The 12,747-nt window shown below is 33.3% G+C and overlaps 1 long non-coding RNA gene across 1 annotated transcript in view; it reads right to left on the reverse strand.

Annotated features, from left to right (window-relative positions):
• The window catches only part of MIR4500HG (MIR4500 host gene), a 226,977-nt gene that overhangs the window by 26,891 nt on the left and 187,339 nt on the right, over positions 1–12,747 (reverse strand). The window contains exon 3 of the long non-coding RNA NR_033829.1: positions 2,563–2,676. This is a non-coding gene — a long non-coding RNA (MIR4500 host gene). The remainder of the gene's footprint in view (positions 1–2,562; positions 2,677–12,747) is intronic.

Raw genomic sequence — 12,747 nt, forward strand, 5'->3', positions numbered from 1 at the left:
CAGAAAAAAAGAGATACTATAGCTACTGTTCCCATGGACATTAAAATAGTCCATCTCATCCACTAAACAAGCACATAAGTAAACCACCACAAAAGCTAGCCCTGGCGAAGGAGTGATAGTAAGCATCCATAATGTCTAGAATATATTACTTATAATGTCAAGTTTTAAGCAAATATTATAAGCTTTGTAAGTAAACAGCAATACCACATAAACAGGAAAAAAATTAGAAGTTACTCCTGTTAAAGCCAACATATGAAACTTAATAGACAAAGACATTAATGGACTTTAAAAATATTTGTAAAAACTAGAAGAATTCATGCTTACAGAAGTACAATGACAATGTCAGAGTATTAAGAAAGATATAAACTACTTTTTAAAAATCAAATTGAAATCTGGAAATGAAAACATAAAATCCAAGTTAAAAATTTACTAGAGTGTCTTAAGAGAAGATTTGAGCTGGTAAAAAAAAAATAAAAAATAATAAAACTTAAAGATATATAGAAATTATGCAATAAAAATCAGGAAAAATGAGCGAATTAAGATTCATTAATTAACAAAAATAAACAGAGCTCAGGGAAATGTAGGACAACATTAAGCAAACTAGTGTACTAGTGTGAGTACCTCAAAGAGAAACTAACAAAAGAAAATAAAATTTTCAAATGACAGAAATCATTTGAAATTTGATGAAAAGAAATCTATACACTCAGGAAGCTCCAGAAACTCTAAGCAGGATAAATCCAAGGATACCCACACAGACATATTATAAAAGTTTATTAAAAGACAAAGAGGTCTATCTTTAAGGGAGTAGGAAAAAACAAATGACTTGTTACCTCTGAGGGGATTCCACTAACAGTTGACAACTCATAAAAAAATAAAAAATAAAGAGGCCAGAATGCCAAGAGGCTATGAAATAATAAATAATGACAACCAAGAATTGTTTTCCAGCAAATGTATCTTTTAAAACAAATGGTAAAATCATTACCCAAATAAAACTGAGCAAATGTGTTATTTGGAAAATTGGCTTTACAATATGTAACAGGAAGTTATTCAGGCTGAAAGCAAGTAACCTTGTATGATAATCTAAATCTAAAAACAAAAAAAAAAGAGAACTGATTAAAGTATTTATGTAATTATAAAATACTATATATATATATATTTCCTGTCCTTTATCTTAATAAGTGATTTTAAAAGTAAGTATATAAAATAATATGAATGAAATTGCATCATTGGACTTACAGCATTTAAAAATATATCAGATAATAGAATAAAAGAGGTGGGTAGGAGAAAACCTAAATGGGATGTAACAAAATTGTACTAAACTGTAACTTGAATCAACAGCATCAACTTAAATCTACAGAAGCTAATGAATAGAATCAGAAATGATAAAGTGGTTAATACGAAAATTTTAAAGTATATATTTACTCTTTTTTATTCAGCTTCTTTAAAAGATAAATGCATGTATAGCAATAATAATAAAAATGCAGGTTTGGGTTCTTTACATATATAAATGTAATATATAAAACAATAATAGCACAAAAATGGAAGAAGATATAGAACTATATTGAAATAACCTTTCTATATCTCATGATGATTAAGTTAGTATTAATATAAAGTAGATTCTGTTAAGCTGTAAATCATAAACCCTAGAGAAATCACTAAGAAAATCATTTTTTTAAAATAGAGTAAGGTATTAAATAAATTAAACAAAATGTATGCTCAATGCAAAAGAAAGCAGTAAAAAAAAGATAACAACATGAGACATACAAGAAACAGCAAAATTGCATACATCAGTATCCCAAATCTTATCAGTAATGATATTAAATGTGAACGAATTAAAAATCCAACCAAAAGGCAGAAATTGTCAAATTAAATTTTTAAAAAGTTCCAACTATATGTTTTCGATACAAAACTCAATTTAGATTTAAACATACAAAAAATCAAAAGTAAAATAATGGAATATAGTATTTCATGTTGGCAACACAAGAAATCTGGAGGCTACACCAATATCAAATAAAGTAACACCAAAACAGTTACCAAAAGAAAAAGAGGGATGTTTGATAATCATATAATAATCAACTCATTAGAAACAGATTACAATTATGAATATATATGTACCTAAAAAGCGATAACACTACACTAAGCAAAACTGACAGAACTGAGGGGAGAAAAGACATTTCCACAATAACTGGAGACTTCAATGTCCTTCTTTTAATAATGGTTAGAGCAACTATGAAGAAGATTAACAAGGCAGTAGTAAAGTTAACAATCAACAAGACCTAATAAATATGCATTGGACACTTGACCCAACAACAACAGAGTACACATTCTTCCCAAGTGCTCATGGTACATTTTCCAGAATAGATCAAATGCCAAGCCTTAAACAGAATGAATAAATGCAAAGCAGTAGAGATCAATCAGGAATGTACTCCAAACAAAATGGAATAAAATCAGAATCATCAATAAAAAGGGCCCTTGGAAATTCACAAATATATTCAAATTAAACAAACACACTTCTAAATAACCTGTGGGTCAAAAATATAACACAAAATTCTAAGTGCCTACCTGTGTTCAAACAAGGAGATTCTTGTGGATTTAGGGAGGCATCTTTTGGCAAGGTCAATTCCAATGACATGTTAATGCATCGATTTTAGAGCCGAGTTGTCCTCTTGCAATCTCCTGTATTAGGATTAGGGAGGCATATTTAGAGATAGGATGACCTCAGCAAAATGGAATGGCCAGATTTAACTATCATCTCTCCACAAAAACACTGAAAAATAAGTATAACCAGTCAGATGCAACTTCATTAGAATTTTAAAAAATAGTTCCAGATTTACAGCAAGAAATGAAGCAACAAAGCAACAAAGCAAATGCTGACTCAAGAAAAACATAGCTGATATAAGAAATAAAAATACTTGTGATATTTTTGCTTTCCCTTGCTCCACCCCCTTCACAGCATGGTAACAGTCTTGAAGGTAGCTTATGCTCCCAACGTAGGACCTTGGTTCCTGGGACTGAAAAGAGTAGAACAAACTTCATTTGCAAATTATTGTGCATGCCTGCTATAAACTCTTTGAGGACTCCTTGAAGGATTGAGATAAGGTGCTCATCAATCTTTCACTTAATTCAGAACTCAGGCTGGAAAAAGAATGAGCATCATTCAAAAAAACCACAAGATGGGCCAGGCACGGTGGCTCACTCCTGTAATCCCAGCACTTTGGGAGGCCGAGGTGGGCGGATCACCTGAGGTCAGGAGTTCGAGACCAGTCTGACCAACATGGAGAAACCGTGTCTCTACTAAAAACACAAAATTAGCCAGGTGTGGTGGTGCATGCCTGTAATCCCAGCTACTTGGGAGGCTGAGGCAGGAGAACCACATGAACCCGGGAGGCGGGGTTATGGTGAGCCAAGATCGCACCATTGCAATCCAGCCTGGGCAACAAGAGCGAAACTCCATCTCAAACAAACAGACAAAAACCCACAAGATGATCTAAGGAATCAAAAATGCGTGGGACAAAATATTATGTTCTAGACATGTAATAAACTACTAAGGCTGAGGAGGAATAGCTAGGGGAGAGTTTCTTTGAAAAATTAAGACATTCAAAAATATCTATGCATACAAGGGAATTAAGAAAGCCACATATATGTCCAGAGCAAGACACATGCTCAACAAGACCCAGAGCTTTTATCTCAGGCTAATAAATAGACTTAATACAAGTCTGGCTAAATGTCTGTGTCTATGGCACAGAGCTAATCTCAAATATTGGGAGAGGCATTTTTTGTTTGCTTGCTTGTTTGTTTTAGACCCTGGTAATAAAAACAAAAAAATGCCAGTACAATAGCTGAACACAAGCTAAAGAACAGACATGTCAGTTATCACACGAGAAATGGAATAGTCTGCAAAAATAGGTTAGAAAGTAATTAGACAGATTTCTACTAGTCTCAACCAGAAAATAACAAACTTTGAGGAAAGGAGAGAATCTCCAAGTTACCACACAGTAATATCCAAATATCCAGGTTTCTACAAAAATCACAAGGCTGACAAATAGGAAAGTATGGCCCATGTAACAGAACAAAATAAATTGACAGAAACTGTCCCTGAGGAAGTCCGGACATTGGATTTACTAGAAAAGATTTTAAATATACAGTTATATGTTACTAACCAATGGCAATATGTCCTAAGAAATGCATTACTGGACAATTTTGTCAATATGCAAACATCAGATTGTATTCAGGCAAAGCTAGATGGTATAGCGTACTATATATCTAGACTATATGGTGTAGCCGATTGCTCCTAGGCTAGAAACCTGTACCGAATGTTACTGTACTAAATATTGTAGGCAACTGTAACACAGTGATAAGTATTATGTATCTAAACATGTATAAACATAGAAAAGTACAGTAAAAATACAATATTATAATCCTATGGGAGGACAATCATAAAAGTGGTTGGTCCCCCACTGACTGAAATATCATTACGTGGTACATAACTGTCCTCACAGAAAAACATAAAAGTAAAAACATAAAGAACTAAAAGAAATCATGAAAATAATGCACAAACAAAATAGAATGAAAGAAAGAAAGAAATTCCAAAAAGAACTAAATATAAATTCTGGAGCTAAAATTATAATAGACATTTTAAAAGACAGAAGATTTGAGCAAGCAGAAAATATAGTTTGAGAACTATAAATACTTGAAATTATCAAAATGTGTAATTAAATATAAAAGCCAGTATTATTGTATTTTTTATTTATAACTGTTTAATTTCTAGCAGAAACAATATCAAAATAACTATATCAAAATCATTATAATTCTGAGCATAAAATGTAGAAATGTGTAACTTATAAGAGAAACAACATAAAATGGAGTGAAGTTACATAGGAGTAGGGTATTTGCATGCTGGGGATGTTAACTTTAATTCAAAGTACATTGTGATAAATATAGGATTTTGAATATTATACCTATAATAAGCACAGAGAAAATATCCACAAAATAATACACAGAAAATAAAAGGGAATTAAGTAGCGCCCTATTTTTCAAACTCAACTAAAAGCAAACAGAAAAGGTAATAATAGAGAAAATGAGAGCAAAAAAATATAGTTGTGTAGAAAAAAACAGCAAAATGGCAGAAGCCCTTTTTAAATCAATGATTACTTGAAATATAAATGTATCAAACTCTTCAATCAAAGGCAAAATAGAGTGAATTCTAAAAACAACACAATTTCAAGAGACTCGCATTAGATCTAAAGACTCAGATTGAAAGTTAAAGGATAGAAAAAGATATTCCATACCAGTATCAACCAAAAAGAGAGCTATGGTGGTAATATCAAAGTAATTTTATAACTGGTATATGAGGAAGAGGGAGGTATATATTTTAAAAAGTGTCAATTCATTAAGAAGGTGTAATTATAAACATATATTCTCAAAACAACATAGTCCTAAAATAATCTGAAGCAAGTACTGACAAACTTGAAGGTAAGAATAGATAGTTCTACATTAATAGATGGAGACTTGAATACCTCACTTTCAATAATGGATAGAACATCTAGACAGAAGTTCAGTTAAAAAAATACATGAGTTAAAAACATATAAACCAACTGATCCTAACAGTGTGTGTATTATATATTATATATTTTTTATTTATATATTATATATTATATATATATGGAGAGAGAGACTGAGACTTGGTCTATGACTCAGATTTAGAAGATGTCTCTACTTAAGATTTTCAAAAAGTGATGCTTGACAAATTAGACACCAAGCATGTATCTCATTGGCTTCTAGCAAATGACAAACTCATTTATACATTCATGAAGTTAATGATGTGCTTCTAGGTAGTTTCTTACAAGTTACTATTTTCTACCTAATTTTAAAACAACTAGGCAATTTTATTATTCTGTTAATTGTAAAAATGAAAACTTTAAAATACTTCTAGAAAACATAAATATTGTGAATGTGTGAAAAGTAAATTGAAATAGATATTAAAATTAATGAATACATGAAGAGTAATATACAGTATTACTGTAAATGCTCTATATGCTATATACTTTATATACTCTATATAATCTGTATGCTATGTACTATGCATAAATGCTATATTATACACTATAAATTTTCTATGTACTATTGTGTGTATATATATGTAATATTATTTTCTGAAAGTTGAAGGTATTCATAAGGTTCCAAATGACTACATATATCTGACTTTTCCTAGAATTCTAATATCTTACTTCCTAAGCATGAGAGGAGTTATATGAAAAAATGACATTATAACTGAGTTCTGTCTACACATTCTGTCCTTTAGTTACTCTAAGGAAAGATAAACAAGTAGTTTGTGCTTATCATAATAACTTCATTTGCCCATAATAACTCATATGCCCAGTTTAAATGAGTAACAATAAGCCCATATTTTTCTAAGTAGTTTTCTTAGACTAAAGGCTAAACTGCTGGGGGGAAAAATGTAATAGCTTAAAGAGTGAAGTTTATCTCACACACGTAAGGCAGCTTTTCTCTGTGAATTTTTATTGAGCCCGTTTTCATCCTCCATCAATCCCATGGATGTTTTCTTCATCAGCATGACTGATGCTGCACCTCTACCATATGTACATTTCAGTCTGCAAGAAGGGAAAAGTGAGCAAGACCAGAGCAAGAAATCTTCTTTTAACCTTTTAATCTTCTTTTAACACATTACTTTGTTCATATTCCATTGGTGAGAACTTATTACAGAGCTTCACATGGCTAATACGTGTGAGGACAACAGAAATTGTTCACAGCTTTGTAGCCATGTGCCCAGAAAAAAAGAGGGGAAAAGATTTGAAGGGAATAACTGGTAGGCTGCCAGAGTCCATCCTATGGCAACCATTTATTGGTGCACACTCTGCTTCCAACAAAGTGAACTCATTCTTCCGCCAAAGGACAAAGCCCAAGGTCCTATCCTATTACCTCTTCCATCACAAATCTCAGAATCTGTGGTTAATGGGCATCCCTCTCTATTAGGTTCAGTCACAGATCCTATATCCTGACAACTTATAAACTAATAGAAAAATAATCTGTCATATTTTGGTATGTGACAATATTTATGGGGGCAAGAAAAATATTACAAATGTAGTCTTACATATCCTATACCTATGCAATGGTTTGAATGTTTGTGTCCCTCCAAAAATTATACATTAAAACCTAATCCTCAATGTGATGCTATTAGGAGGTGGGGCCTTTGGGAGGTGACTAGATCAGGAGGGCAGAGCCTCTGTGAATAGGATTACTGCCCTTACAAAGAGACCTCAAAAAGCTAACTAACCCCTTTCACCCTGTGAGGACAGAGTGAGAGGGTGTCATTATGGGAAAGTGGGCCCTCCCTGGACATCAAATCTGATGACGCCTTAATTGTGGATTTTCTAGCTTACAGAACTGTGTGAAATAAATTTCTGTTGTTTATAAACAACCTGATATATGGCTAAGACAAACAATATTAAATAATTACATACAGCCCTGGTGCGGTAGCTCATGCCTGTAATCCCAGCACTTTGGGAGGCCTAGGCAGGTGGGTCCCTTGATTCCTGGAGTTTGAGACCAGCCTGAGCCACATAGTGAAACCCCGTCTTCACAAAAAAAATAAAAAATTAGCCAGGCCTGGTGGCACGTTCCTGTAGTCCCAGCTACTCGAGACGCTGAGGCGGGAGGATCTCTTGAGCCTGGCAGATGGAAGTTACACTGAGCCCAGGTCATGACACTGCAATCCAGCTCCTCAAAAAATAAATAAATAAAATTAAAAATATATAAACCAAACAAATTATACTGTTAAATATAATACATTCTATTCACTTACGTTGACAAATTCAAAATTCTCAGATTCTTGTTTTTCCATCCTAGAATATATGAAAACACAAGGAAAGATAACCCTAGCTCTGAATTTGTAACCATGACCCCCTCTTCTCTTCACTCACTTTTCTTATGATTAATTGAGTTACACTCTAGTCTGCAAGCCAAAATACATTGCTGCCCTTAGCCCATTCTTGGGTTTAAGTTAAGGCCAGCAATTTTCAGGAGGATGACGTGGGTAGAAGGTCTGTAAAATACCTGGAAGCCAATTAGGGTCTATTTGAGCAGGGATCTGTGGACTATTAGGCATTCAAAGCATGGCCCGGAAGTGGAGCCTATGCTTCAACTAGACACAGGCATCACTGCCCTTTGGCCTATGCAACTCTTACCTTGAAAATTGGGGTTAGACTGGGGAAGGACAGAATTGAGTTTGCCAAAATACGGAGTCCAAGGCAGCACCCCTTTTTGCCTGGGTCTGAAGTTGCTAATGAGAATAATATATGAGAGTGGAACAGAAACAAAATTACTGCAGTTAAAAAGAATTCATTAGAATGGGTACAGCACACCAACATGGCACATGTATACATATGTAACAAACCTGCACGTTGTGCACATGTACCCTAAAACTTAAAGTATAATAAAAAAAAATTAAAAAAAGAAAGAAAATAGAATGGGAAACAGGTCAGTCAGCACATAATAACAATGTCTTTCTGGGAAGGACTAATAAAGGCTGACTGTTGAAAGTTGAGTAAATTCATTGGGTAGACCCAGATTCTGAGCTGTGAGAAAAAGGATCTCATCCTCTGTCTTCCACGGCACATGGCTCTGCCTTCTGGGAGGTCCATCTTTGTGTTCATTAGCTTCTGTGGCTACATCTGAAGAATGAATCTATATTCTCCTTGGAGGCTGCATACTTACACAAACTACTTTTTGCAGGTGCAGTTCTGGGAGCCTGAGAATTGTTTTACAGATAAGCAATCAATTCTTTTAGGCCAATTTTGTGACTTCTTTGTAATTGCTCTCTCAAAAATTTTTAGACCCATGGCCTATTTGCTTCCCCTCAGTATTAATATGCCAGGGAAAAAATCACAGCATTATTTTATGGACATACTTCCTAAGCCTGCCTTGTGATTTTCTTGTCTGTGCCTATTTCTAACTTATTTTGATTGAGGCAACTTGAAGATCTCTGACACAATACATGGGAGTGAAAGACAATACTCCAAATCTGATGTTTGCCACAAACTTAGATACCTTATGGATTAGAAATCTTAATCAGAAGTCTGAACACATGTTTTTAGACTGACACTTTTATCTTGATGTTTTAGGGGAGTAAAAAAATGATTTGGATATTGCCATCCTGCAAAGCCCCATATTTTTAGACGCTCCCCTTCATTTTGTTTTGAAAGTAAGTCAGATCTTATCTGAGGTTCTCTTTATTGTAGTAATTTGCATAAAGCAACAAGAAACAGGCAATATATAGTTACATTATGGATCTTTGTAATGATTTCCTCAAAAATATAGGCTCAAGAGTCACCTAATTTGCTTAACAAACACGTGGCTTAGTTACCTTTTCAAAGACAACAATTTATCAGCTATACTGGCATAACAGGGGTCACCAGCTTTCCAACCTTACCCATCTATACTGCCTGAGTACTCTTCTAATGTCACATATTTTCAGTTTCTGTCACAGGACCAACCCTCTAGTGATACTAGTATCTGCTTTAGTTAGAATACAGTTTAGGTTGCAATAGCAAGAAGACTCAAAATACAGTGGCATGAATACATTAAGAATGACATTTTCTAGACTCGACAGCAGCTAGATGCAGCCATATTCCCAAAAAGACTCAGGGAGTGTATTTTTAGATGACAATTGGCATACCATTTTAACTTTGAAAACTGAAAATTCCACTATCACTTCAAAAAGCACTCTATTAAAGATCAACAATAGGCATCCAATGGTTAAATTCAATAATATCCCTTTGCTTTAATATATTCCACTAAACTCCTTTCCCACTTTCACTCCTTTTCAATAAAACATCTCGGCATTTGACAATAACCCCTCATACCTTGTATATCTGTTCTCTTTTAATTCATCAGAGAGTCCATTTTTAAATTCCTTTTTTATCACAATTTTTGTCCTTATTTTTATAAACTGTAGATCTAATTGGCTGTTTTTCTTATTCTATATGCCATGATCAACTTTTAATTCTTATCTGTTTATTAGATTTTTCTTCTAACATTCACTCCTTATTTCAAACTGTCTTATAATATCTCCAATTACACCTCTACTTTTCTAGTTTAACACCCCATTTTTTCTTTCAATATCCAGTAAAGAACACTGTTCCCTCTTTCCAAGTCAGATTATGCGACATTGCTTGTGACATTTCTTTTTTTGCATAAGATTATTTCTATCTCCTTTTGTCAACATTTTACACTTCCTTCAACGTTTATGTCAAATGCTAAAAATAAAATATCCATAGGAACTCATGCTTACATGAACATTCCATCGTTAAACTTCCATACAACCCTATAACTTTTTTTAAATGGGACTCATCTTATACTGTAACAAAAATTATTCTCCCTATTCTAGTGTTCTAAAGTCATCGTCTTATAAAATGTACTGGAATTGTGTGATTCGTCTGACGCCACTCCAGACATCCTGTTTTGAGTTTCGTGTTCTTATTCTCTGCTTCTATCTCTGGGATGAGTTATTCCATTCAAAGCAAATACTTTGAAAGAATCATCAAAGAGATAATGATACCTCTGTAAAGACACCAGTAACAATTTCAAGGTAGACAGGCTCACTTTCCTTGATGCCCCTACAATTTTAGTGGCCACAGTAGCAATGCACAAGTTTGTCAAATGTACAGTTTTGGAAGTGGTGCAAATAATTAAGGAAAATAAAATCACAGGAGTAAAACATTTTAGAACTGTTCTAAATTGACTACACAGTCCACAAAAAGAATATACAAATAGACTAAAACATTACATGTGATTATCTCTGTTGCCAGGCCCCAATTCAAAGACTTGCTTTTCTTTCCTCAGGTTTTCAGTTCATTTTTTCTGTCTTAAAAGAATTCTCATAACTAGTTTGGTTTGTCTATTTGTTAGTATTTTGTTTAACTCAATGACTATGTTTTCATGTATATAAAATTTCTAGTTCTTAATATGCCCGTTTTTAATGTATTTTATTTTTCCTTTCAGGTTCAAGTTCATTTTTCAGTGTGATCACTTTACACATGCTTAAAGTCTCTTTCACAGTTCTGTCTTATCTTTAGTTATTTGTCAGCTCTTTAGTATATAACATGGAAGTTGTTTTCTGTCATATTTGAAATACCTCATATGGAAACTTTCCTATAAAACATTTTATTTGTGTTTTGTAACCCAGATGGATTGTCTAAATTCAGACCATTTTAAAATATTAATTTTTAATTTGTAGTTTCTATAACTTATTGGCAATTCAAGCATAGAGTCATATCCTTATAAGCCTCCTGCTTCTTTACTTCATATCCAAGACATTGGGGTAAAAATTGAGTCTCATTTAGAAGCAGAGTTAGCATCTCCTCAGTAATGATTTTCTGCAAGATACTCAGTTTCATCTCCCTCTAGCTAAATATGAAGGTCTATGGCATGGCCATCTTTTTAAAACAAATTGAAATATTTTGATCCAACAATTCTGCTTTACCTGCTTTTTATTTGTACCTTAGAATTGATTCCGTTGTCATTTCTTTTGAGCCTAATCATACATATTAAAACATGATTCCTGGAGTTTTTGAATTTTTCAGTGTGTCGGACCTACCCTCATTAGTTCAGTCCACCGTATTGACAAGTATCCCCTCCTTTCCTTCCTAAGGCATCATTTTTACAAACAGCTGGCTATAAATCTTGGCTTTCCTTTCATGAAATTTATCCCTTACACACATGGCTTTATCTTATCCTAAGCTTTAGGTCCTTGCTATCAGTAATATTTGTCAACCTATCTGAAATATACATTCCAAAAAAAATACTGTGCCATATAGCAGCACTAGACAGCACTTGGGACTTCAGATGCACAAAACATTTCAGAATGGGGAAGGGCATTCCAAATCCCAGCTCTTCAAAAATATCCTTGTCAGCATGATAGCTCATATTCTTCCTGATGTTTTGGGAATTAGATAAAAATTAAATTAAATAGCACATTGACAAACATTAAAGTGAAACACTCAGCCTTAGATGCACTGCCTTGGAAAATCTCTATGACATAGAGAAGTATTTTTCTATCTGTTCATAAGATGTGTGATAGCTCCTGCTATGAAAATATGATTTAACTTTATTATTAGAGAAATGTCAATATTCCCCCTCTATTTGTTATTGATGTTTCCATGCTGTGTCACTGGGCAGAGGTATTTGAACTAAACTTTTTCCCCCCATCAAGTGATTACAAAAAGTTGAAAACTTTTTACATGATTGTTCACAGTAACTTTATTCATAATAAATGAAAACAATCTAAATTTCCATTAAAAGATGAGCTGATAACCAAATTGTCATATATTCATATAATTGAATACTATTCCACAACAAAAATGAGCAAACTATTGATACTGCTTTGTCATTCTACTTCAAACCATAATCTGAGATTAAACACCATCTCCTCATATAAGCAATTGGGATTTTATAGTAAAAGCAGAAACTATACGTTAGTGAAGCAACAGGGAGAAAATAGCTTTTGATTAACTTTGATCTTTATTATAAGTTTGGGATGTTTATCTGAATCAATCTACTAGATTATAAACTTTGAATATAAAAAAGTTTATTCAACATTTGCCTTCTAAATATTAGTTTCTCATTAAAAATATATATTAATAAAATTTCAATTGTTATATCAATTTAGAGCCATATCAACTCCACAGAACTGAGAATTCAAGCCCCACAAAGAATGTGTTTAGAAATGAA

Source organism: Homo sapiens, chromosome 13 (assembly GCF_000001405.40).
Source record: "Homo sapiens chromosome 13, GRCh38.p14 Primary Assembly".
Classification (NCBI taxonomy): Eukaryota; Metazoa; Chordata; class Mammalia; order Primates; family Hominidae; genus Homo; species Homo sapiens.